The sequence below is a fragment of the Homo sapiens genome, chromosome 17, assembly GCF_000001405.40.
Source record: "Homo sapiens chromosome 17, GRCh38.p14 Primary Assembly".
Lineage (NCBI taxonomy): Eukaryota > Metazoa > Chordata > Mammalia > Primates > Hominidae > Homo > Homo sapiens.
The window spans coordinates 40,475,834-40,501,623 of record NC_000017.11 but is presented as its reverse complement, the minus strand read 5'-3'; the positions used below and the strand labels follow the sequence as shown (position 1 = coordinate 40,501,623).

General features: G+C 52.9%; 1 protein-coding gene across 6 annotated transcripts, besides 6 other annotated features; it reads left to right on the top strand.

Annotated features, from left to right (window-relative positions):
• Positions 1 to 25,790, top strand: TNS4 (tensin 4). 6 transcript variants are annotated; one of them, XM_005257744.2, is made up of 13 exons: positions 1 to 90; positions 5,104 to 5,637; positions 12,655 to 13,078; positions 14,167 to 14,588; positions 16,617 to 16,703; positions 17,015 to 17,140; positions 19,208 to 19,300; positions 19,418 to 19,495; positions 20,856 to 20,924; positions 21,782 to 21,950; positions 22,976 to 23,044; positions 23,291 to 23,317; positions 23,895 to 25,790. In XM_005257744.2, the coding sequence occupies exons 2-13, from the start codon at positions 5,199 to 5,201 to the stop codon at positions 24,034 to 24,036; spliced, it is 2,145 nt and encodes a 714-aa protein (XP_005257801.1). In that variant the 5' UTR covers positions 1 to 90; positions 5,104 to 5,198; the 3' UTR covers positions 24,037 to 25,790. The 6 variants fall into 6 exon arrangements, with proteins under 6 accessions (XP_005257801.1, NP_116254.4, XP_047292905.1 ...); NM_032865.6 differs by having other exon boundaries at positions 14,164 to 14,588; XM_047436949.1 differs by having other exon boundaries at positions 14,164 to 14,588; positions 21,446 to 21,950.
• Positions 1,588 to 2,459: an enhancer, noted in NCBI's record as "H3K27ac-H3K4me1 hESC enhancer chr17:38655417-38656288 (GRCh37/hg19 assembly coordinates)". NCBI's record gives its function as "activates a minimal SCP1, AML or CMV promoter by ChIP-STARR-seq in naive H9 embryonic stem cells {active_cell/tissue: H9 hESC(naive)}" and the evidence as "EXISTENCE:reporter gene assay evidence [ECO:0000049][PMID:30033119]".
• Positions 7,146 to 7,645: an enhancer, noted in NCBI's record as "H3K4me1 hESC enhancer chr17:38650231-38650730 (GRCh37/hg19 assembly coordinates)". NCBI's record gives its function as "activates a minimal SCP1, AML or CMV promoter by ChIP-STARR-seq in naive and primed H9 embryonic stem cells {active_cell/tissue: H9 hESC(naive and primed)}" and the evidence as "EXISTENCE:reporter gene assay evidence [ECO:0000049][PMID:30033119]".
• Positions 7,646 to 8,147: an enhancer, noted in NCBI's record as "H3K4me1 hESC enhancer chr17:38649729-38650230 (GRCh37/hg19 assembly coordinates)". NCBI's record gives its function as "activates a minimal SCP1, AML or CMV promoter by ChIP-STARR-seq in primed H9 embryonic stem cells {active_cell/tissue: H9 hESC(primed)}" and the evidence as "EXISTENCE:reporter gene assay evidence [ECO:0000049][PMID:30033119]".
• Positions 10,512 to 11,137: an enhancer, noted in NCBI's record as "H3K27ac-H3K4me1 hESC enhancer chr17:38646739-38647364 (GRCh37/hg19 assembly coordinates)". NCBI's record gives its function as "activates a minimal SCP1, AML or CMV promoter by ChIP-STARR-seq in primed H9 embryonic stem cells {active_cell/tissue: H9 hESC(primed)}" and the evidence as "EXISTENCE:reporter gene assay evidence [ECO:0000049][PMID:30033119]".
• Positions 20,140 to 20,325: a silencer, noted in NCBI's record as "fragment chr17:38637551-38637736 (GRCh37/hg19 assembly coordinates)". NCBI's record gives its function as "represses an EF-1alpha promoter that drives an FKBP-Casp9 reporter gene in an ReSE screen in K562 erythroleukemia cells {active_cell/tissue: K562}" and the evidence as "EXISTENCE:reporter gene assay evidence [ECO:0000049][PMID:32094911]".
• Positions 20,308 to 21,507: an enhancer, noted in NCBI's record as "P300/CBP strongly-dependent group 1 enhancer chr17:38636369-38637568 (GRCh37/hg19 assembly coordinates)". NCBI's record gives its function as "activates an origin of replication core promoter dependent on BRD2, BRD4, P300/CBP, MED14 and CDK7 cofactors, with strong dependence on P300/CBP, by STARR-seq in HCT116 cells {active_cell/tissue: HCT116}" and the evidence as "EXISTENCE:reporter gene assay evidence [ECO:0000049][PMID:35650434]".

Genomic DNA, 25,790 nt, shown 5'->3' with positions numbered 1-25,790 from the left:
GCCTCTCCTGACTCTTCACCTGGACTCTGAGTCGTCTTGGTCCCAGGAGCCAGTAGTGAAGGCAACAGTCTGCCCACCTGTGGACACCAGGTAGGTGCCTTTATTCTTTAAGAAGAGAGGAACACGGAGCACCTTTGCTGGCCCTGATTCATTTAAACATTTTTTTTTTTTTTTTTGAGATGGAGTCTTGCTCTGTCACCCAAGCTGGAGTGCAGTGGCGCGATCTCGGCTCACTGCCAACGTCTGCCTCCAGGGTTCAAGCGATTCTCCTGCCTCAGCCTCCCAAGTAACAGGGATTACAGATGTTTGCCACCATGCCCGGCTAATTTTCTTATGTTTAGTAGAGACGCGGTTTCACCATGTTGGCCAGGCTGGTCTCAAACTCCTGACCTCAGGTGATCCTCCCACCTTAGCCTCCCAAAGTGCTGGAATTACAGGCGTGAGCCCAGCCTCATTTAACCTTTTGTCTTCAGCTTCTCCATTTCTCAGGGCTCAGAGTGAAGGTGGGGAGAAATGGGGTGGAGGATGTGGATGAGACAGAGATGGTCTCAGGATCACAGACCGCGGAGTTCAGCAGTTCAAGGGAACTAAACCTGTGCCCCTCGGCAAATAGATGAGAGAGCTGAGGGCCACAGAGAAGAGGCTTGCCTGAGGTCATGGAAAGGGACTGGACACAGAACCCAGGCCTCTCGCCTCCCAGCGCTCTGGGAGCCCTCTGGGCACTTCAGAGGTAGACAGGACTGGGAGATGGGGCGGCTGGCCTTCACTGGTCCTATGGGTCCCTGCCTGAGGTCCACGTCCTGCGTCACCGGGTCTGGGTGGGAGGGATGGGAAGATCGGGAGCCAGTTTTCAAAAATAGGGGGTGCAGTGGAGATTGGGCTAATGAGGCAAAGTGCTTTGGGGGAGACTCAGGCTTTACCCTTGCCCCACCCTCTCCCTTCACTGACCTGGGCTCATTGGGAGAGAGTAAGTCAGGAGAAGAGGTTGGCAATGACACGGAAGAGGGGATTTGCCAAGGCACCAGGACTCCCCAGAGTCCTTGGGAACAAAGAAAGAGATCTGAGTCAGAATCAGAAGTGGGAGCGGGTAGGGGGCACCTACAAATAGAGCAGAGGTGGCTGGAGCCCTCCTTGCCCCCGCCCCGTGCCTCCCAACCACACAGAGCCCCGGGCCCAGGGACTCTCCCCACCACTTACAGCAAGAAAGAGCAAGTTAGAGGAGTGTGCGGGGCCGCGAAGGGGGCAGCATTCAGGAATACAGGAGTAAGATGGAGCCCTGCCTTGGTACATCCAAGGGCGACGCAGAGCCTTAAAAGTGAGGGGAGGCTGAAGAGGAGCGTAGGGGCTGCCTGCCCTTTGCTCAGCTCCAGGTCTGTCCCTCTTGGTTCCAGAATCCCAGAAGGGGCAGCGGTGGACAGGGTTCTTAAATATGTGAAGCAGCAGCAGAGGCTAAAAGTGTGGGACCGTGGAGCAAGACCACCTGGGTTTAAACCCCAATTCACAGTTGGGGTTGTATGACCTTGGGCAAATTCCTCAACCTCTCCAGCCCTGCAGCAATAGCACCCTCCTCAGAGAGCTGTTGAGAAAATGCAAGGTGTTCAGTGTCTGTTATTATCACATCCCCATCACACAGATGGGACAACTGAGGTCTGCCCAGAGAGGAAAGGACGCTTGCCCAGCGTGGCACAAAAGCTGTGTCCAAATTAGTAAGCAGGTATACTGGGTCCTGGTTGCGAGGGGACACCCAGCCCTCCTTGAGCTCTGCAAAGTCAGCAGCCCCAGCCTCCTCTGCAGGACACAGCCAGAAAACCCTGCAGGGAGCGCCCAGATCCTGTCCCAACAAACCCAGTCCACTTGGAGCCTGTGTGGAAAAAGCCGTGGTTCCGGCTCTGTGTCCTCAGCTGTCCCGGGAGGGCGGGAGCGCAGAGGCCGGCTCCCTTCCACTTCCATTTATAGAAAGCTTCCCGTGCCCGGGATGCCCCGCCCCCTGCAGGACCTGGCCAAGGAAAAGTCTGGCATCAGACCTACCGGAGCCACGGGCGTTGGGGGAGGCAGGAGAGGGGAAGGGGCCCTGGCTTTTCTCATGAAACCTGTGCGACCTTCAGCCAATCATGCCCCCTCTCTAGATCCCAGGTGTCCCTCTGCACTTGAATTCCATGTGGCATTGTAGCAGGACGAGCCGCAGACAAAACTCCTCAGACACCAAGTTAAAGAAGGAAGGGGTTTATTCGGCCGGGGGCATCAGCAAGACTCCTGTCTCAAGAGCCGAGCTCCCCGAGTGAGCATTTCCTGTCCCTTTTAAGGGCTCACAACTCTAAGGGGGTGCGTGTGAGAGGGTCGTGATCAATTGAGCAAGCAGGGGGTACGTGACTGGGGGCTGCACGCACCGGTAATTACGTGGGAACAAAACAGGAAAGGGATTTTCACAGTGCATTTCTATACAATGTCTGTAATCTATAGATAACATAACCGATTAGGTCAGGGGTCGATCTTTAACTACCAGGCCCAGGGTGTGGCGCTGGGCTGTCTGCTTGTGGATTTCATTTCTGCCTTTTAGTTTTTACTTTTTCTTTCTTTGGAGGCAGAAATTGGGCATAAGACAATATGAGGGGTGGTCTCCTCCCTTAGCATAAGGAATTAAGATTCCAAAATCCCACACCTGGGTTTGAATCCCAGCTCCACCATCTTTCTGGATGTGAAGCGTGTTTCTTGACCTCTCCGAGTCTCAGCATCTTCATCTGTAAAATGGACTGACAACTCAAAATAAATAAATAAGGCCAGGCACAGCGGCTCACACCTGTAATCCTAGCACTTTGGGAGGCCGAGGAAGGAGGAGCACTTGAGCCCAGGAGTTCAAGACCAGCCTGGGCAACAAAGTGAGACCCTCTTTCTACAAAAAATTCTCTGGGTATAGGGCACAAGCCTGTAGTCCCAGCTACTCGGGAGGGTGAGCTGGGAGAATCGCTTGAGCCCCAGGAGGTCAAGGCTGCAGTGAGCCATGACTGTGCCACTGCACTCTAGCCTGGGCAACAGAGCGACACCTTGTCTCAAGAAAAAAAAACAAGAGGACTGACAATAGGGTGCAGTACTTCCTAGAGCTGTGAGAGGATTGAGTTACCAATGTAATTCGTATGTAAACTATTTGGCACATGGTCAGCGCTCAATAAATGGAAGCTACTATTATGAGGCTGTTATACTCCATAAGTCCTTATTTCTAAGTACTATTTAGAATTGCCTAACTACCTTCACAAGGAGCACCTCACTGGTTCCATAACACTCTCTGGGAGGGTGCAGGAATTCTCATTACCATCTCACAGATGAGGAAACTCAGGGTCAGAGTCACACCATAAGGAGCTATTTGAGCTAGAAGTCAAATCTAAACCTTCGGATCCCAGAGTCCACTTTCTCTTCTCCCAGGCTAGTCTCAGATACCTTTTCCAGTGCTAAGGTCTGACTCCAAAACAGGACGTAAAGGAGGCGTTTTGGCAACGAGAAGAAAGAGAGTTGGGGGGTGTTGGTGGGGGCTGGGGACCAGCAGCAAAGCTCAGAGCAGGCAATGGGAGTGTAACCAGCACATTGCAGCTCTGTACAGTTTTCTTGGCAGCCTCAGTCCCAGAACTTCTTACCTCCTTACCAAGCCCCACCTACAAGAAACTAGCATGTGGCATTAAGGTTAGACAATGGAAAGGACTTTTCACAGTAAGGAAAATGAGGAGGTTGAGACATCTCTTTCCCAAATGAGCCCCAAGGAAATGAATATCATCTGATGATGTCACTCCCCAGCTCAAAACTTTTCAGAGCCTCCCTGTTGCCCTCAGGGTTGAGCTGGCAGTCCTGAGCCCAGCCTGCAAGGCCCTACGGGATCTGGCCAGCCTGCCTCCCCCGCCCCATCTCCTCCACCCACCCCAGGTGCTCTGTTACTCAGGTGCTCAATAGGGTCTTGTGAGCTTCCCTGCTGGCCAGACTTTTGCACAAATGGTCCCCTCTACTTTGTTTATTTATTTGTTTATTTGTTTAGTTAGAGACAGAGTCTTGCTCTGTCATCCAGGCTGCAGTGCATTGGCTCGATCTCGGCTCACTGCAACCTCTGCCTCCCAGCTTCAAGCAATCCTCCTGCCCCAGTCTCCTGAGTAGCTGGAATTACAGGCACGTGCCATCATGCCAGCTAATTTTTATATTTTTAGTAGAGATGGGGTTTCACCATGTTCACCAGGCTGGTCTCGAACTCCTGACCTCAAGGGATCAGCCCACCTCAGACTCCCAAAGTGCTGGGATTACAGGTGTGAGCCATCACGCCCAGCTCATCCCCTCTAACTTAAATCTTCCTCTCTGCCTCCTCATCCCTACTCAACTTGCGCAGCTACCTCTTGCTTTTCCTTCTTATCTCCCTTTGCGTGTCCCTTCCTCCAGGAAGACCTCCCTAACCTCCCCACTGAACTAGAAAAGTGCACTGTCCCTTCCCTCCTCTCTCGTGACACTGCTTACAGTTGTTCACCCACTTACTTGTCTGTTTCACCAACCGGCCCAAGTGCAGGTGCTCAGACATCAGGCAGCCGAGGGCCCAGTCCTTCTCTACACTTGTTGGCAGTGTGACCCTTGGGCAAGTTACCTACCTCTCTGTGCCTCAGTTCTCTCCCTGTAAAATGGGATAATAATACCTACCTTATACAGTTGTTATAAGGATTTTTAAAGCCTTTATCTAAAAATACCAGAGCTTATGTGGATAATAATTACTCAGCAAACGTTAGGTAGTATTTACTTAATAAACACACCTGGGATGTAGTAGATGTTCAATAAACATCTACTGAAGTTATTTTATTTAATGATCACTTACATAATGCTTATTATGTGCCAGGCACTGTTCTAAGCACATTACAATGATTAACTTGTTTTATAGACGAGGGAACTGAGGCACAGAGAAGTCAATTAACTTGCCCAAGGTTATACAGCTAGTAGGTGGTGGAGCCAGGCTGCAAACTCAGGTGGTCTGGCTCCAGCATCCATGCTTTTAAATGAATGAATAACTTAGCCTTTGTACGGAGGGTGGGAGGCAGGGGCTTCACCTACAGAAATTACTCCGTTCCCACTCTTGGACTCTTTCAGATCCTGGGAGCTCCTGGTTAGCAAGTGAGATCTCTGGGATGTCAGTGAGGCTGGTTGAAGACCAGAGGTAAACTGCAGAGGTCACCACCCCCACCATGTCCCAGGTGATGTCCAGCCCACTGCTGGCAGGAGGCCATGCTGTCAGCTTGGCGCCTTGTGATGAGCCCAGGAGGACCCTGCACCCAGCACCCAGCCCCAGCCTGCCACCCCAGTGTTCTTACTACACCACGGAAGGCTGGGGAGCCCAGGCCCTGATGGCCCCCGTGCCCTGCATGGGGCCCCCTGGCCGACTCCAGCAAGCCCCACAGGTGGAGGCCAAAGCCACCTGCTTCCTGCCGTCCCCTGGTGAGAAGGCCTTGGGGACCCCAGAGGACCTTGACTCCTACATTGACTTCTCACTGGAGAGCCTCAATCAGATGATCCTGGAACTGGACCCCACCTTCCAGCTGCTTCCCCCAGGGACTGGGGGCTCCCAGGCTGAGCTGGCCCAGAGCACCATGTCAATGAGAAAGAAGGAGGAATCTGAAGCCTTGGGTAAGGATTTGGGGCACAGTACCAGGAGGGGGGCTTGGTGCCAGACCTCATGAGGAAGAAGGATTTTCCTATGTACAGAGAAGGGGACCCTGTCCTGTTGGGAGGTGCTGTGCAAACCTAACCAAGTTACTAACCCCTCTGTTTTCTGTGCTACACAAAGGGGATAAATACAAGCTTCCCTCACTAGCCAATTCTATTTGGTTCCTGAGTTTGGAAAGTGATAGATACTGATTTTCTATGATTTTATGAGGACTTAAATAAGCTCCTATGGAAAGTGTTTTGTGCAGTGCCGTGCCCATAAAGAAGAGCTCAATAAATGTGGATCCCTGACCCCCACTGTCCTAGGGTGTCTCACTTCAGAGCCTAACCTGGGCCCCCCTGAAATTTTGGTAGGATTGCTATTGGGACCTCTGTCCTTGTTTAGGGGAGTATCTTTCTGGAGAGGCCCACGCTGGAAATGGTAGGATTGGGGCATCTGTTTAGGATAAGGACCCGGTAGTGTTCAAGCAGTGGTATGCTGGTGAATGTTTACCTGGCTCTCTGGTTGGGGAGCAGGGGCAGAGGGAGCTGATTTGAAGCTTCTGCCCATTTCCACAGTATGAATTCTCCCACTGTGGCCAATTTCAAACTACCAACATGATGTCACTGAATGAGGAGCTGGAGACATGTGGAGTAGCAGGCTGTCACACAGCATTGCCACCACACCAACACAATAGATGTAAATAACCCTGAGAGCACAGATAATAGTATGGAGGGTGGGGAGACACTGTCGTAAAATAATTGGGACGTGACGAATTTTAAGTATTTATTACCTTTGTTTTTAATGTAAGTTATTTCATTGTAAGTGTACATAATGTAATTATTCATAATGGCTGGGTTTAGTAACTAGCTAGACAAAATCCTGAAAATTTAACAATCAGCTCTTAACCAGCTGATACAAGCCAATTCCAGGGCACCACCGAGTCCAAAGGAACCTGGAAATTCCTACATCTGGCTTCAGTTTCCTGAACAAAGAGTTTCAAGTATGCTCTTGATGAGGATCAAGGAGCAGCCATCAGACAGGTTGGAAGACTGAGGCCTCCAAGGCTTTAAACTACCAGCAAGGGTGAAGGGGTGCATGATTAGGATTAGAGATAGGAGCCATAAGATATTACACTTACTGGACACATATCAGGCACTGTGCTGAGCACTTTATGTAGAATCTTCAATCCTCTCAATCCACTCCCTGAGCTGAATTTTTTTTTTTTTTTTTTTTTTGCAATGGAGTCTCACTGTCACCCAGGCTGGAGTGCAACAGCACGATCTCGGCTCACTGCAACCTCCACCTCCCGGGTTCAAGCAATTCTCCTGCCTCAGCCTCCCCAGTAGCTGAGATTACAGGCACCTGCCACCATGCCCAGCTAATTTTTGTATTTTCAGTAGAGATAGGGTTTCACCATGTTGGCCAGGCTGGTCTCGAACTCCTGAGCTCAAGTGATCCACCCACCTTGGCCTCCCAAAGTGCTGGGATTACAGGTGTGAGTCACCACACCCTGCCGAATATTTTATCTCTGTTTTGCAAATGAAAAGCTGGGGTTGCTGGGGTTAAGTAAGGAGCCAGTCTAGCCTAATGGCTGGCGTCAGGCAGAGCTTTCACAAGCTGCTTGCTTCACTGCTATGTGTCACAGATTCCCCATCTGAGAAATGGAGATAATGAGAGTTCTTACCTCAAAGGGTGTTATGGGGATTGAAAGAAATTACATTTTTTGGCTGCTTATCACAAATCCTGGCACACCATATGCCATTCTAAATGGTAGCTGTTTTTATTAAACATTGGGGTTGCACGTTGGGCTAGCCCCAGGTTTGGGCTCTGAGGTGGAGGCCAGCCCAGCACCCAGGCCCTCTGGCACCCAGGGTTCCTGGGCTCCTGGGCTCCTGCCTGCTCTGTCCCCTCTCACCAAGCATTGCCTGCCAGACCTGTTAAAGAAACTGTCCGTCAAGGGTCTTCCTGTTTCTTCAGGCCAGTCAGTCATGGGCATGTCACTGCAGGAAAGGCATCTTGGGCCTAATTACTGTTGGCAGGAGCAAGCCCAGGGTTTTACCGTTCATGCCCCAGGACTGGATTTCCACATGTCCAAGGCCAGCTGGGGCAAAACCAGTCCCTGTGGAACGTCCTCAAATGTTGGGTGGGGGTTGGTGACAACTAGGCCCTTCCTCCACGGAAGGGGCTCATGATCAGCTTAGGGCTGATGGCATGGGTCCACATCCACAGATGCCCTGGGCACCACATGCCATTGTGAACATGTGTCCACCCAACTCTGGGGAACAGGGAATGTAAGGCAGGCAGTGGCCAGAGGGTCCTGAGGAAGCTGCCTCTCTGTGCCCTGGCCCCTTCTGATGGAGAAAAAAAATCTCTTCCTCTAACGTCTGCCTGGACACCTGCAATGCCTGGGAGCTCACTACCTCCTAAGACAACCCAGCCAGGTCAGCTCCCCACTGGGAAGTTCTCCACCATCACTAAGAACAGCAGACACCTGCACCCAAAATCCTCCCCGCAGACCCTACTGCTGGTGACAAATCTCTCACTGGCCTATAGCAGTGTACAACTCTGAGCGTTGTGGTGAGTTCTCTTACCTCGAAATGTATTCAGAGTGGAGGATCCCCTGCCATTTTACAATCTCATCCTTCCTACTTTTGGGCTGTTCAAGGAAAGACACTCTGACATTACCGTGCTAGGAGATGTTTACTTTTCCTTTTTGTCCTAACTTGGCAGAATTTAAAAATTAAACATTGGCAATTCTATATTGACATTTCCCCTAAATATATATACATATTTTTTTTGAGACAGAGTCTCGTTGTGTTGCCCAGCCTGGAGTGCAGTGGTGTGATCATAGCTCACTGCAGCCTTGAATGCCTGGGCTCAAGCAATCCTCCCACCTCAGCATCCCCAGTAGCTGGGACTACAGGCACATGTCACCACGCCCGGCTAATTTCTTATTTTTTTTTTCTTTGGTGGGTGATGGAGTCTTGCCTCCCAGGTTCAAGCGATTCTCATAGCTCAGACTCCTGAGTAGCAGGGATTACAGGTGCCCACCACTATGCCCAGCTAATTTTTTTGTATTTTTAGTAGAGACGGGGTTTCACCATGTTGGCCAGGCTGGTCTTGAACTCTTGACCTCGTCCACCTCGGTGATTCGCCCACCTTGGCCTCCCAAAGTGCTGGGATTACAGGTATGAGCCACCATGCCCTGCCAACCTGGCTAATTTTTAAACTTTTTGTAGAGATGGAGTCTCACCATGTTGCCCAGGCTACCTCAAGAAATCCTCCTTCCTCAGCCTCCCAAAGTTCTGGGATTACAGGCATGAGCCATATCACCCAGCCCAGGCTTAAAACAAAAAAAAAAAAAAAAAACTAGTCCATGTACCAGCCTGGCCAACATGGCGAAAACCCATCTCTACTAAAAATACAAAAATTAGTTGGGTGTGATGGCATGAACTTGTAGTCCCAACTATTGGGAGGCTGAGGTGGGAGAATCACTTGAGCCTTGGAGGTGGAGTCTGCAGTGAGCCAAGATCCCGCCACTGTAATCCAGCCTGGGCAACAGAGTGAGACCCTGTCTCAAAAAAAAAAAGACTCCATGTAATCCATGATCCCAGTGTCTGGCTTTTGAAGGAAATAGTGGAAACCTCCTTTTACAGATGAGGAAACTGAGGCTCGGGGTGGGTACGTGATGGCTCACAGTCACACAGTCAGGGAGAGATAGGTCAGGCCTCAAATCCCAGGCTCTGGGCTCCATAGGCCACTGTCCTTTCTCTCTTTCTAAAGTCTAGTCTTCTGCCCTCTGGGGCATCACGGAATCCATCCGTTTGGAGGCAGCCTGCAGGCTCCTCTTCTGAGGCGCGACCTCCTGGGTGCTTCACAAACCTTCCCCAGGTTCCCTGCCCCTGCCTTCCTTTAAACTTGCCCTGGGGGCCCCCATCCCACAGAGAATGTGGTTCCTAGAAGCAAACACCATATCCCTTTCTTTATCCTCTCCAACACCCCGCACCCCATCTTTGGAACAGGCCCCCCACTTTCATTTTCCAACAATGTCTGCCAGGCAAGGCTGTTTACCCGCCCCAAGTGAAGGGTATTTAATAAGTATCTCTCCACCCCTCACCCACACGCCCTCCCTCCACTCACCCGCCTGCCTGGGGCTGGCGCCGGCACCCACCCAGCACTGCTCAGACTTGCCCCACAGGCCAGTAAACAGCGACTGCACCCCTGCAATGGGTAGAGGCCCCAACCCCACCCCCCAGCCACACCCACCTTGAGGTGAGCACGGGGCTCCTCCCTCCCCTCCCGCTCTCCTTACTCAGTGACCCCAGCAAGGTCCCTGATGGATGTTTCAATGGCCCAGTGAGTAGGGAGCCCAGAGCTTCACTGTGCCAAGAGACCCTCCCCAAAGCAGCCAAGCACCTTCTCACAGGGCAAGGCCTTGGAGCAGGTTCCCAAGGAGCCCCTCCTCATCCTGGAAGAAGCAGTCCCTAAACAGAGCTCAACAACACTCCCTGGCTGTGCAGCATTGGATAACTCACTTCACCTTTCTGAGCCTTCCAGATTTCCCATCTGTTATATGGGCATTAATAATATCCCCTACTTCCACAGAGTTGTCATGAGGGTTAAAGGAGCTAATACAAGCAATGTGTTCGTAGTGGTCCTGGCACATTGCACTCAATAAAGACCAGTCTCTGTGAAACATCGTTGTACACTAAGTGTTAGCTCCATCCCCACTCTTCTCCAAGCTTCAGTTTCCTCCTCTGTAAAAAATAATGCCTGCCCTGCTCAAGGGCTATTATAAGGTTCAGAGGAGATTATGGGTGTAAACACTATAAAGTCCTATAAAAATTGAAGTTGTGCTTTCCAGCCTTCCAGAAGAATCCAACCCATTCCAAGATCTCTTTTCTTCCAGAGCCCACAATGCAGTGCCCCAAACACTCTCTTCTTGCAGTCATCTTTCTAAGCAGAGAGATCCCCACCTTAGCCAGAAAAGGGCTCCATTTGGCCAATACTGTCCCCAAAAAGCAGGCAGGTAGGAAATGCTCCTCTCTCGAGCCTCACCATGGGCCAGGCTCCCGGCTATTGTATTTCATCCTCATCACAACCTTGGAAGACTGGTTTCAGATCCTCACTTTGCAGATAAGGAAACTGAGGCTCAGAGAGGTTAGGAAAGTTGCACAATGCCCTTGGCTGAAAAGCAGCAAAGCCAGGACTCACCCCAGGTTTGTTTTGCTACAAAGCTAGGCTCTTCCTCCACCCGCTGAGCAGCAAGTCCCAGTCAGCTGCCAGCCCTTGCTCATCTGATGTAACTCCCCACCCCCACCGTGGCCCAAGCAAGCTCAGACAGAGGCAGTAACTGTGAGCAGGGCCAGATGGCCCTACCCAGGAGCGGGCTGGGGCAGGCTGGGGCTCCACAGTCATAATGGGGAGGAACAGTGCATGTGCCAGGGCCCCAGGCAGGTGGGAGCTGAGGGTGCACGTTCTCCCCAATTTCCCCAGCCTCCATCCCAGGAAGCTAGAGGCAAGACTCACACTCTTCAGAAAGGAGCGGCTCATTAACCCCCACCTTCCTCCAGCTTTGCTGGAACAGCACCAAGGACAATTCCCTTCCCCCAGGTCAGGAGGAAGGGTGTTCATCCTCACCTTGGGGAGAACCTCAGAGCAGCCCACTGCAAGGCCGACCTCGGGAGAGGAACAAGGCCTCAGAATCCCAAGAGTCCTGGATGCCCCGACCAGGGAGTGGAAAGAGCGCTGGAGCGCGTCGGCAGCCTGGGGTGTGTTGGGTGACCCCTGTGTACCAGCTACCATCCCCAGGAGATCCATAGCTCAAGAATGCAGCAAGCCCTGTGCTCAGGGAGTGCCTGCTCCAAAGCAGGGTTCTCAGACTCCACTGCATATTCACATGCCCTGGGTGGCCTCGCTAAAATGCAGATTATGTTTCTGTAGGGGTGGAGCCCAGGTGATGTGGTCCTGCTGAGCCATTCATGGTCTACTGGACTCACCTGAAAAACTGGAAAACAAACAAAACTGAGGCCTGGGTTCACCCCCTGGAGAGTTTAATCTAATTGGCACAAGGCGCAGCCTGGGGTGAGTCTAGTGTGTAACCAAGCTTGAGAATCCCTGCTTTCACTGCAGGTACAGAGAAACCACTTCCTTTTTTTTTTTTTTTTTGGAGATGGGGCTTCACTCTTGTCACTCAGGCTGGAGTGCAGTGGCGCAATCTCGGCTCACTGCAACCTCTGCCTCCCGGGTTCAAGCGATTCTTGTACCTCAGCCTCCCAAGTAGCTGGGATTACAGGTGCCCGGCTAATTTTTGTATTTTTGGTAGAGATGGGGTTTGCCATGTTGGCCAGGCTGGTCTTGAACTCCTGACCTCAGGTGATCCACCCGCCTAGGCCTCCCAAAGTGCTGGGATTCCAGGTGTGAGCCACCGCGCCCAGCCTCAGAGAAACCACTTTCACACATCCTGAGTAGCAGAGGCATCAGAAAGTGTCACTGGTACAACCCATCAAGTGGCCATTTCAACCTAGGAACAGGGCACAGACAAAGGAGAGAGTTGCCCAGTTTTTAAGCACCTGGTCTGTGCCGGGAACAGTGCTGTGCTGCCTACATGAGTTTCACTTCATCCTTTTTGTATCACCAAAAGGCTGAATGCAGTTGCCCCACTTTACAGGTGTGGAAACTGAGGCCCTGGGTGGTGAAGTCTTTTGGCCAAACTCTCTCAGAAAATAAGTGGCAGAGCCAGATCTGAAGCCTGGGTCTGTCTGATTCCAAGGCCTGGGTCCCCTACTGCATCTCCTCACCCAAGGGAAGTTGTCACAGGGAGGGTGACTGGAACTGGGCCCTGAAGGTGGAGTTGGGCTCTCCTCTCTGGGCCTCAGTGTCCTCGTCTCTATAAAAGAGGGGGGACAGAATGACCTTGAGGATACTTCCAGCCTCTCTGTTCTATGAGTCCAGGCTCCTGCATTTCACCAATGCTCTGCTTTTCTCCCCCAAAGACATAAAGTACATCGAGGTGACCTCCGCCAGATCAAGGTGCCACGATGGCCCCCAGCACTGCTCCAGCCCCTCTGTCACCCCGCCCTTCGGCTCCCTTCGCAGTGGTGGCCTCCTCCTTTCCAGAGACGTCCCCCGAGAGACACGAAGCAGCAGTGAGAGCCTCATCTTCTCTGGGAACCAGGGCAGGGGGCACCAGCGCCCTCTGCCCCCCTCAGAGGGTCTCTCCCCTCGACCCCCAAATTCCCCCAGCATCTCAATCCCTTGCATGGGGAGCAAGGCCTCGAGCCCCCATGGTTTGGGCTCCCCGCTGGTGGCTTCTCCAAGACTGGAGAAGCGGCTGGGAGGCCTGGCCCCACAGCGGGGCAGCAGGATCTCTGTGCTGTCAGCCAGCCCAGTGTCTGATGTCAGCTATATGTTTGGAAGGTAGGTTCTGTAGCTTCTAACATTGCACACACACACACAGGCACACGCACGCATGCACCCCCTAAAATCACTGAAAGGGACCCTGCTCTGTCTGAGCAAAATCTGGGCATGCACCAAAACCAGAAGCAAATGTTTGCTTTTACAGCCTTTCAGATCTCAAGCTGTCCTCAAGCATTTAGAATACAATTCAATATAAAAAGTCTTGACTTATAGCTACCTTTTGGTAAAAGAGCCGTTGCCTTAATGAGGCTCATCTATATCCTTTCCAGCCCTCATACAACCCATCTCAAGGAAGGTTTTTTTAAACCCCAAAACACAGGGCTATAAATAGAATTGGGGGGCCTGAGATGAACTATTTAGGAATAAAAAGGTTCCTTCCTCTGTTGCTGGCAAAACCTAGCAAAGGAGTGAGGCAGCCCTGCCTGGGAATCACAATCATCCCAGCTCAGTTCTCTATAGACCTCACAGCAGAACTGCAGGCACATGCGCACCCATTCTGCCCCAGGAAGACCGAACCACAGGACTCTGCTTCCCACTCCACCTCCAAAGCCACTGGCCAAGGCAGTCCCTGGCACAGAGGCTGGGGATTCCACAGCCATGCCCACTGGCACAGGCCCCTGAGCTCAGGAAGAAGTCTGGCTGGATGTGAAGCTGGCCTTCTCCTGCAGCTGGGGAGTTCCCTCTGCATCAGCCACGGTGTGGTCCAGCGTAGGTTCAGCCCATCTGCAGGGCTCCTGGGAGTCATGGGGGCCTGAAGGGATCCTGATCCGACAGCTCAGTCAGAACGGCCTGGCTGGGAAGGCAGACGGAATGTGGGCCAGCCTATGCCCAAAGCCTGCAGGGGTCAGCTCATTGGCTACTTTAAGTGACCAAAGACCCTACCATCCAAGGACATTTCTGTATCCTTACCATCCCTTGAGGATTAGGTGGGCATGCACTTTGCTGTGGGCTGTAGGGGGTGGGGTATGCAGTGTTCTATTTGGCCTTTAAAGCCATGGGAACCCAGATCACCAGATCCGGAGCCTGACTCTAGCCCCTGAGCCACCTGTTGCCCTAACACCCTGTCTGACTCTCTCCCGCTGCAGCAGCCAGTCCCTCCTGCACTCCAGCAACTCCAGCCATCAGTCATCTTCCAGATCCTTGGAAAGTCCAGCCAACTCTTCCTCCAGCCTCCACAGCCTTGGCTCAGTGTCCCTGTGTACAAGACCCAGTGACTTCCAGGCTCCCAGAAACCCCACCCTAACCATGGGCCAACCCAGAACACCCCACTCTCCACCACTGGCCAAAGAACATGCCAGCAGCTGCCCCCCATCCATCACCAACTCCATGGTGGACATACCCATTGTGCTGATCAACGGCTGCCCAGAACCAGGGTCTTCTCCACCCCAGCGGACCCCAGGACACCAGAACTCCGTTCAACCTGGAGCTGCTTCTCCCAGCAACCCCTGTCCAGCCACCAGGAGCAACAGCCAGACCCTGTCAGATGCCCCCTTTACCACATGCCCAGAGGGTACGTCGTAAACCAATATTTGAAGCAATGTAAGATTTGGGGAATAGACAAAGTGCCAGTGGGTTTCTGCAACAGCCAGTCAACACATTTATTGAGCAACTATTGTGTGTCTGGCACTATGCCAGGTAGTGAGGACACACAGAGGGAAACAGTTTAGAAAGAGACAAAAACAAATCATCACGGTAGGGTAGGATAAACGCGGAGGTAAAGAGATATTCTCAATCATATTGGCCAAAGCTGAAGGAATGATTCTTTCAGTCTGGAGAACAGAGGAAGCGACATCCGAGCTGGATCTGGGAAATGGATCAGAAGTTTGTGGCCAGAGAAGGAGAGGAAAGGCATTCCCAGCAGAGAAAGCAGGGGGTCCACAGTCATGAAGGTGTGGAAGCGCATGGCATGTTCAGGAAATGCCGGAATGTTGGGTGCAGGTTCAAGTCATTGAGAGTAATTTGAAACCAGATTGTGAAAGGCCTTAAATGCCAAGCTAAAAAAAAAAAAAAAAATGGAATTTGCCTTTTAAGCAATAGGGTACCATCAGAGAGCCTCCTCACACAGGAGAGTGATGGGGTCAGAGGTGCTCGCTCAATGGATCACCCTGGCAGCTCAACGGATAGCAGGGTCCTGAACCGGGATAGGGCAGTGGGAGTGGAGGAGAGAGGACAGAACCAGGCGACCCTCAGGATGTGCTTGATGACTAACTCAAGGAGAGCAAGAGGGCGAGTCAGTTCTGACTCTGACGTTCGCAGATGATGAGAACACAGAGGGGGTGGATGGGGTAATAGAGACAATGCATTCCAGTTCAGACAGCCGAAAACCACAAAACAGCAAACACCCTCCTTCCCGGAGTCTGAGATCACAGGCGTCCAAGAAGAACAAACCCAAGCAGTAAACCCAGAAGCTAAGCTCTAGCACCCTGTGGATGCCTCTCCCATGAGCAGAGTCCCCTGCCAACCCCCTGTTCCCCCTCCCTCGGCCATCGGGGGGCTTCTCAGCCCCCACTTGGCCATGACGCTCACAGGCATCAAGGCGACTCCAGAGGGGGTGGGGGTGGAATGTTTACTATAGCCCACTGCTCACTCCCACTCACGAAGCCATGTGGAGGCAAGCAGGAGAAAATGACACTTCTGGCGTGCCTTTGCATCTGCCCTGATCGCTTTCCTAGGACAAATCATTTGCAGATTTTAGTACTTTTTTTGAATGAGTTACTTGAGAGTAAGTGGTCACAACACTCCTTTTCAAGCCGCCAAGGTTGACAGCTACTGCTCTCTGCCTTAGGGACCCAGGGAAATGGCCATTTTGGCATCCCAAAGCGCACATTTACTTAGCCTAGTGATATTCCCATCCTGCTTTGGTCCCATAATATCACCAACTATACCCCCAGATCTTATCAAATTCTGCAAAATATTCCTAAAACAAAATTCATTTTAATTCCATAGACTACTAGAACATTAAAGACCCTCAGAAGCTGTTTAGTCCACTTGGTCCCCTCTGAGCTTCAGTTATCCCATATCAGAGTCAAGATCCAGGCTCCCGCCTCCCAGGGGCATGTTTTTCTGCCCAGATCTGCTATTTTCCTCTCCTTCACGTTTTCTGCCATTTTCTTTTCCAAGCTGAATATTCCCGTAAGGAATTCTTAGGATTATGAAGACGAAGGAGAATGTAATATCAAACATGATGCATTTGAGAATTCCTTGTTTATCTCTTATTTCAGTCCTCACCAGGGGACTCAACAGTAGATTTAAGAAACCATTTCTCCTTAAACTGAGGTTGTATCTATTCATTCCTTATTCATTACCAAGGATACAAGGGCACTTCTGAGTTCTAGATGCACCAAACCCTGGCATCCTTCTGTTTGATTTTCCCTCATCGTAGGCAGTTTGGAGATACAATGGGGTTAGGGTCTGGGATGGTGGTTGAATGAAACCTTGGGGCAATAGAGTAGGGAAGGGTCTCCAGCCTTCTCTGGTGAACATCCCTCAGCTCCCGTCTGTCCAGCCTACAGGGTCCCCCTTCTCTGTCTGTCTCCAGGTCCCGCCAGGGACATGCAGCCCACCATGAAGTTCGTGATGGACACATCTAAATACTGGTTTAAGCCAAACATCACCCGAGAGCAAGGTAAAAGGAAGCACGAGTGACCCCAGAATAGGGTCTGGGTCTTGCACTTTGCATCAGGCAGGGCCCTGGGTTACAGTTAAGGAATGGCAAATAGTGGGTCCTGGGAAGCGGGGGAGGGGGATGTCCTGCTGACCTCATGACCTCCCGAGGAAGTAGGAACCACAGCAAGAATGGTGGAGATTTGACAGTACAAAGGACTTCCTGGGGACAAAAGGTGACTCTGTAACATCTGCTCTGTGAAGACCCTACGGGGCTGGGGACAGGGTGTCCAGGTGGGGCGGTGTCCATCTCTGACTCAAGGATTGTTCCAGCAATCGAGCTGCTGAGGAAGGAGGAGCCAGGGGCTTTTGTCATAAGGGACAGCTCTTCATACCGAGGCTCCTTCGGCCTGGCCCTGAAGGTGCAGGAGGTTCCCGCGTCTGCTCAGAGTCGACCAGGTATGCGTCTGTCTCTGTGCTCACTCAAGGCCTCACTGAGGCAGCGGGGTGTGGTAGGTTCCAGTCCTGGCTCTGGCACTAGCTTTCAGGGTGACATGGCGCCAGTCTTATAACAGCTCCTAGGAGAAGCGTCCACCCCAGTGTTCTCCCCGATGCCCTCCAGCCCCAAGGCACCCTGAAAAACGCCTTTCACAGCAAGCCTGCGTGCTTCTGCCTTCCCGAGCCCCACCCCCACTTCCCTGCTTTTTTCTGATGGTGGGAGAGAAGGAGGAGGGTCCTAGCCCCCTCTAGGCTGCTCTTCTTGGAGTCAAACTGGATTCATTTCCAGGGAACCTAATGTGTGATTACACACGCAGCTAGCTTATCTCACAGGTGATAGCTTACCAGGTTTGTGTACTAGCTCAGCGCACATGTGTGTGATAGCTTATATGCTTTCCTGTGGTCTCCCATGCTTATTTGATAGCAAACATCTATGGAGCATCACCACACACCAGGCACTGTGTGAGGCAGCAGGGATACAGTGGAATCAGACACAGACACCACCTCACTAGGGAGACAGATGAAAACAGATGATTACAGTACAAGGTACCTGGGTCATAGGCCTCACTCAAACCCCAGGATTGCACCTTCTTATTTAACGGATGAGATAACGGAGGCTCCCAGAGTTACTTAATGACTCCAGAGCAATTAAGTGATAAAGGGAGGATGAAACACCCAGCCTTGTGTTCTTGACAGTATGCCTCACTGTCACAATAAGAAAGTGACCTCTGGGGAGGGTGTTACTTATAAAGGACGCCTTGCAAGAGGCAATGAGCCCAGACTGAGGAGGACACTGTGGACTGGTGGAAAGGAGTCAGAAGGTCATTGTTCACCTCCCCACCCCCGGGGCCAGCGTGGCTCCAGCAGAGATGACCTGGTGGGCAGGGGGAGACAGAAACCAGACCAAAGAGTCGACATTTATCTAAATAATTAAGAAGTTTCCTTGCCAGGCACAGTGGCTCACGCCAGTAATCCCAGCACTTTGGGAGGCCGAGGCAGGAGGATCACTTGAGCCCAGGAATCTGAGACCAGCTTGAGCAATATGGCAAAACCCTGTCGCTACAAAAATTACCCAGGTGTGGTGGAGCACACCTGTAGTCCCAGGTACTTGGGAGCCTGAGGCAGCAGAATCACTTGAACCCAGGAGGTCTTTGAGGCTGCAGTGAGCCATGATCACACCACTGCACTCCTTCCTAGACCAAAGAATGAGACCCTGTCTAAAAAAAATAAAATAAAATAATCCCTAGGCCGAAGCAGGAGAACTGCTTGAGCTCAGGAGTTCGAGACCAGCCTGAGCAAAATAGTGAGACCTTGTCTCTACAAAAGAATTAGCCCGACATGGTGGGGCACGCCTGTAGTCCCAGCTACTCAGGAAGCTGAGGTGGGAGGATTCCTTAAGCCCAGGAGGTTGAGGCTGCAGTAAGCCGAGATCATGCCGCTGCACTCCAGTCTAAGAGACAGAGCAAGACTCTGTCTAAAAAAAAAAAAAAATCCCTGATAACTCTTGACCAGCAGAAAGGTTTCCCCACCCCACCCCCAAAAAAAGAAGAAGAGAAAGGTTTCCTGAAGAGGGTGTGGCTGGAGCCATTGAGCAGATGTGTTGGCACCTCCTCTGTGGGAGGGAGAGGCAGGGGGATGGACAAGGTGGAATTTTTTTTTTTTCCGGTGAGACAGAGTCTCACTGTGTCACCCAGGCTGGAGTGCAGTAGCACAATCTCGGCTCACTGCAACCTCTGCCTCCCAGGTTCAAGCAATTCTCCTGCCTCAGCCTCCCGGGTAGCTGGGACTACAGGCATGTGAACCACGCCCGGCTTTGTGTGTGTGACTGTGTGTGTGTGTGTGTGTGTGTGTGTGTGTGTCTTTAGTAGAGATAGGGTTTTACCATGTGGGTCAGGCTGATCTCGAACTCCTGACCTCAAGTGATCTGCCCACCTCGGCCTCCCAAAGTGCTGGGATTACAGGCGTGAGCCACCGCGCCCGGCCACAAGGTGGAATTCTATCCGAATGCACTCTTTCTTCTCTGTCCAGGTGAGGACAGCAATGACCTCATCCGACACTTCCTCATCGAGTCGTCTGCCAAAGGAGTGCATCTCAAAGGAGCAGATGAGGAGCCCTACTTTGGTGAGACTCCCCAGCCTCCAGGCTCCCCCGGGATGGGGGGCCAGCGAAGTCTCCGTTGTGAGCTGAGGGGTGGGTTGGGGAAGCTCTACTCATGCAGGGCTGCTTGCTTCCTTTCAGGGAGCCTCTCTGCCTTCGTGTGCCAGCATTCCATCATGGCCCTGGCCCTGCCCTGCAAACTCACCATCCCACAGAGAGGTGGGTCTGGGCCCCAAAGAGGCAATGCCAAGGTGGGGGACCTGTTTGTTCTCATTAGAAATGGGGTTCACTCCTACCTTGTTGGTGGATTATTTTAGTGTCACGGTTAAAACTGTGTGCACTGGAGTCGCTCAACATCTCCACCTCCTAGCTGTGAAAATTTGAGAATGTTGACCTCTCTGAGCCTCAGTTTCCTCATCATACCTACTTATAGGATTGCTGTGCAGACCGAAAGAGATAGCCCGGGCAAGGCTCTTAGCGCAATGCCTGGCATAGAATGGATGTTGGATAAATAGCAGCCTGCTTTGAGAGGGTGAAAGAGCCTAAATCAAATAGTTTGGAGAGGTTTTCTCTTTCCAGGTCCAGCATTTGTTGAGCACTCACTCACCCATTCATGCTTCACTACAAGCTTGTGAAGTAGACTTTGCTGTTATCATCCCCATTTCACAGATAAGAAAATAAGGGCTGGGCGTGGTGACTCACGCCTGTAATCCCAGCACTTCGGGAGGCCAAGGCGGGCAGATCACTTGAGGTCAGGAGTTCGAAACCAGCCTGGCCAACATGGTGAAACCCCGTCTCTACTAAAAATACAAAAATTTAGCTGGGCGTGGTGGTGGGCGCCTGTAATCCCAGCTACTCAGGAGGCTGAGGCAGGAGAATCACTTGAGCCGGGGAGGCAGAGGTTGCAGTGAGCTAAGATCGCACCACTGCACTCTAGCCTGGGTGACAGAGCGACAGAGCAAGACTTCATCTAAGAAAGAAAGAAAGAGAGAAAGAGAGAAAGAAGGAAGGAAAGGAAGGAAAAGAAAACGAGGGTTCTAGATGTTACGTAATTTGCCCAAAGGCCCACAGAGTCAGACCTTGAACCCAGATCAGCATGCCCTATCCAGAGCATACAGCCAGGTAGGGGGGCAGCTCAGATGAAATAGATCATCTCAGGGGTGTGCAGGAGAAGCTCGAGAAGGGCTGTTTCTGGAAGGGCATCAAGGCAAGGGAGCCCCAGAGGAGCGATGGTGAGAGCCTCCTCGCTTTCTGCAAAGACAGGTCAGGGGTTGAGACAGGGTCCAAAAGAAGTGAGGAGGTCAGGGGCCTGTGAGGACAAGATCATGGCAGCCATCTAAGAGGTGGGGGGGCGAGGAGGGGATGAAGAGATCAAAAGGGTTGCAAACTAAGCATTTAGGGAGCCCAAAGTGGCCTGTTTGCCTAATTACGGTAATCACACCTGGTTTGAGTCACTTCCTGGAGATGGGGGTGGAGGTGGGAGATCTTCAAAGGGATTCATGAGGCCTGTTCCTGTGAGAGGGGTCCATTCACTCCACCCCCGCCCCTTTGGGGGGCCTGTTTCTTTGCCTTGGCTCAGAACTGGGAGGTGCAGATGGGGCCTCGGACTCTACAGACAGCCCAGCCTCCTGCCAGAAGAAATCTGCGGGTGAGTGGTACAGGAAGGGAGGCGCCAAGCTTGGCTGTGCCCCAAGAGGGCACCTCCCAACCCTGCACACACGCACGCATGCACGCACACACGCACAGGCACACACGTGTTTCCCATCTCAGCTTTGTTTCTGCATCTTTAACAAGGTGCCACACCCGCTCCCCATCACCCCTGTAAAACAGAAGATGAGAGGCCAGCAGGGAAGTGGGGCAGGGTGGGGGGTGGGGGGAGTGGCAGAACTTACAGTCCCTCCTGCACACACATGGGCATGTGCACACGTGCTAGGGTCTCTCTAGGTCTGAGAAACCTGCCCTAGAGGTGGTTCTGGGTCTGGGATCCTCTATGGGGTGTCAGGTCTAAGTCCTGGAGCCTTCACCAGGGGAAAGGTCCCTGACCCACACTCCCAGAGGCCAGCACACATCAGCACTTGTCTCAGTGACTGTTCCTGCTCTATGCCCTGAGCACGAACAATTTCCTTCCCCATTCTTGTCTTCTGTCCCTACCGTTGCCAATGAACCAAGACCTTGAAGATGGAGGTGTGGGGAGGAGAGCAGCCGTTAAGTGTGGACAGAAGGATGTTTTCCTGGGCACCTCTACACACAGGGCAACATCCCCTCCCCTGCCCCATGCTGGAGGGCCAGGGGCCAGGGCGATGCAAAGCCACAGAAGATCCCAAAGCCCTCTGGGGTTGGCCTCAAACTGTGATCACCCACACACCCACTTTCTGTTGGGTGGCGGCTCTAAGAGGAGCTCCACTGGATTCCTGAACAGGAGACTCACCCCCTCCCCTGGCCCTGGGCAGAGGGAGAACCTGGGCCCTGGGTCAGTGGCCCCAGCGCAGTGTCTGCCTCCCACAGGCTGCCACACCCTGTACCTGAGCTCAGTGAGCGTGGAGACCCTGACTGGAGCCCTGGCCGTGCAGAAAGCCATCTCCACCACCTTTGAGAGGGACATCCTCCCCACGCCCACCGTGGTCCACTTCAAAGTCACAGAGCAGGGCATCACTCTGACTGATGTCCAGAGGAAGTAAGGGCCTTCCCTTGCCCTGGGGCTCCGGGGCTGGCGGAGTAGAGCTGGAGGGGATAGCTGAGACAGCTGCAGATCAGGGATGAAGGTCAAGTTCAGGGTTCTGGATGACCCAGCGGGGCCAGTGATGTGCTGAGTGACTCCAGGCAGCTTCCCTGCCTCCTCCAGGCCTCACTCCACTGCCAAAGCCCCTGTTCATCATGACTGATGAAAATGGAGTTAACGGGGGCCGGGCACGGTGGCTCATGCCTGTAATCCCAGCACTTTGGGAGGCCGAGGCGGGCGGATCACCTGAGGTCAGGAGTTCGAGACCAGCCTGGTCAACATGATGAAACCCCGTCTCTACTAAAAATACAAAATTAGCCGGGCATGGTGGCACGCACCTGTAATCCCAGCTACTTGGGAGGCTGAGGCAGGAGAATTGCTTGAACCCAGGAGGCGGAGGTTGTAGTGAGCTGAGAGCACGCCATTGCACTCCAACCTGGGTGACAGAGTGAAACTCCATCTCAAAAAAGGAAGGAAGGAAGGAAGGAAATGGAGTTAACTAGTATTCATGGGTGCCGATTATGCCTGCACCCATTGATGGAACATCTTCCCTCGGCCAGACTGGCTGACCACTGGGACCCAGAGAGGAATGAGATCGTTCCTTCCCCAGGCTCGGATCTCACAGTCTAACAGGAGCCTGATCCAGGGCTGAGCACTTCACAGGGAGAAACAAGAGATGACCAAGATGTAATTCGTGTCCTCAAAAAGTTAGTGGCCAAAAAAAATTAAATGGCGTGGTAGGGGTGTGATAGAAAACCCCAGAGTGTAAGACAGAGGCAGACAAGCCCCATGAGAGGAGAGAGGCAGGAGCGGGGCGCCAGGGCCCCCCAGTGGGAAAGGCCATAGCGGTCTTCAAGGTCTAACCCAGAGACTTCTTGGAGGACAGGGCACCTGAGCTTGGGGGGAACGAGAGATGCTGGAGGCAGGATGACACTGGGACAGGCTGTCATCGCTTCCCTTCTCTCCCCGCCTCCTCCTAGGGTGTTTTTCCGGCGCCATTACCCACTCACCACCCTCCGCTTCTGTGGTATGGACCCTGAGCAACGGAAGTAAGTTCAAGGCTGGGCCAAACTAAGAAGGCTGTCCAGGGCCCCGCTGCCCACCAAGGCGTCCTGCCGACTCTGGGCCTGGGATCCCAGAGGGAGCCTGTGAACCTCAAGGGGTCAGGGTGACAGAATGAGGGTAGGGTGGGGCATGGTGGGGTGGGGACGCAGCTGGCCAGTCCTGCTGCTCCTCCAGGGTCCTGTGGCATGGAGCGAAGCCTCATTACTCGGTATCATGTTCTTTTCCTACAGGTGGCAGAAGTACTGCAAACCCTCCTGGTAAGGCCTTCCTGTCTCAGGGCCCCAAACCCAACATGGGGAGGGAACTGCAGAAGGAAAGAGGCACCATTCTGACTTTAATAGTCCAAAGTGTTGATGAGGGCACAGGCCCTGGTCCTCAGGGAGCTCCCATCTGATGGGAAAGACTTTGACTGCCCTCAGAGCCTCTGGGCTGTTGGGGGTGACATGAGCCTGGGAGCCCTCAATCTTCTGCAAGAGGCACAGGCTCTAACTTCAGGGAGCCTCAAGCTATTGGAATGTCCCAGTCTGATGATCAAGATGCATCCTTGCCCTCAGGGAGCTTCCACTCTAATGGGGAATGCACAGGTCCTGTCCTCAAGGAGCCCTCACTCAAAACAAAGGAAACCCAGAGCTTGAACTCAGAAATCTCCCAGTCTGACGGGAGAGGCATCTCCTTCCCCAGGGAGCCCCACCATAAGGAGGTGCTGGAGTCAATTGGCTAAGGGAGGGGCAGGGAGGAATGAGATGCAGGCTGAGGGCCCCCCACCACCCCATTCCCACCAGCCTGATGCCTCCCTGGGTCCCACCCCTCACTCAGACTGCCCTCCCCCACCAGGATCTTTGGGTTTGTGGCCAAGAGCCAGACAGAGCCTCAGGAGAACGTATGCCACCTCTTTGCGGAGTATGACATGGTCCAGCCAGCCTCGCAGGTCATCGGCCTGGTGACTGCTCTGCTGCAGGACGCAGAAAGGATGTAGGGGAGAGACTGCCTGTGCACCTAACCAACACCTCCAGGGGCTCGCTAAGGAGCCCCCCTCCACCCCCTGAATGGGTGTGGCTTGTGGCCATATTGACAGACCAATCTATGGGACTAGGGGGATTGGCATCAAGTTGACACCCTTGAACCTGCTATGGCCTTCAGCAGTCACCATCATCCAGACCCCCCGGGCCTCAGTTTCCTCAATCATAGAAGAAGACCAATAGACAAGATCAGCTGTTCTTAGATGCTGGTGGGCATTTGAACATGCTCCTCCATGATTCTGAAGCATGCACACCTCTGAAGACCCCTGCATGAAAATAACCTCCAAGGACCCTCTGACCCCATCGACCTGGGCCCTGCCCACACAACAGTCTGAGCAAGAGACCTGCAGCCCCTGTTTCGTGGCAGACAGCAGGTGCCTGGCGGTGACCCACGGGGCTCCTGGCTTGCAGCTGGTGATGGTCAAGAACTGACTACAAAACAGGAATGGATAGACTCTATTTCCTTCCATATCTGTTCCTCTGTTCCTTTTCCCACTTTCTGGGTGGCTTTTTGGGTCCACCCAGCCAGGATGCTGCAGGCCAAGCTGGGTGTGGTATTTAGGGCAGCTCAGCAGGGGGAACTTGTCCCCATGGTCAGAGGAGACCCAGCTGTCCTGCACCCCCTTGCAGATGAGTATCACCCCATCTTTTCTTTCCACTTGGTTTTTATTTTTATTTTTTTTTGAGACAGAGTCTCACTGTCACCCAGGCTGAACTGCAGTGGTGTGATCTAGGCTCACTGCAACCTCCACCTCCCAGGTTCAAGCAATTATCCTGCCTCAGGCTCCCAAGTAGCTGGGATTACAGGCATGTGCAACTCACCCAGCTAATTTTGTATTTTTAGTAGAGACAGGGTTTCACCATGTTGGCCAGGCTGGTCTTGAACTCCTGACCGCAGGTAATCCACCTGCTTCGGCCTCCCAAAGTGCTGGGATTACAGGCGCAAGCCACCCAGCCCAGCTTCTTTCCATTCCTTGATAGGCGAGTATTCCAAAGCTGGTATCGTAGCTGCCCTAATGTTGCATATTAGGCGGCGGGGGCAGAGATAAGGGCCATCTCTCTGTGATTCTGCCTCAGCTCCTGTCTTGCTGAGCCCTCCCCCAACCCACGCTCCAACACACACACACACACACACACACACACACACACACACACACACACACACACACACACACGCCCCTCTACTGCTATGTGGCTTCAACCAGCCTCACAGCCACACGGGGGAAGCAGAGAGTCAAGAATGCAAAGAGGCCGCTTCCCTAAGAGGCTTGGAGGAGCTGGGCTCTATCCCACACCCACCCCCACCCCACCCCCACCCAGCCTCCAGAAGCTGGAACCATTTCTCCCGCAGGCCTGAGTTCCTAAGGAAACCACCCTACCGGGGTGGAAGGGAGGGTCAGGGAAGAAACCCACTCTTGCTCTACGAGGAGCAAGTGCCTGCCCCCTCCCAGCAGCCAGCCCTGCCAAAGTTGCATTATCTTTGGCCAAGGCTGGGCCTGACGGTTATGATTTCAGCCCTGGGCCTGCAGGAGAGGCTGAGACCAGCCCACCCAGCCAGTGGTCGAGCACTGCCCCGCCGCCAAAGTCTGCAGAATGTGAGATGAGGTTCTCAAGGTCACAGGCCCCAGTCCCAGCCTGGGGGCTGGCAGAGGCCCCCATATACTCTGCTACAGCTCCTATCATGAAAAATAAAATGTTTGTCTTTGCAAAA

Bases quoted from the DNA above. Each gene is read 5' to 3' on its own strand.
- TNS4 (XM_047436949.1), top strand. From the start codon at position 5,199: ATGTCCCAGGTGATGTCCAGCCCACTGCTGGCAGGAGGCCATGCTGTC. The intron at 20,925-21,445 runs GTGAGTGGTACA...CAATGAACCAAG, and splicing joins CTGCCAGAAGAAATCTGCGG to ACCTTGAAGATGGAGGTGTG. The intron at 23,045-23,290 runs GTAAGTTCAAGG...CTTTTCCTACAG, and splicing joins ATGGACCCTGAGCAACGGAA to GTGGCAGAAGTACTGCAAAC.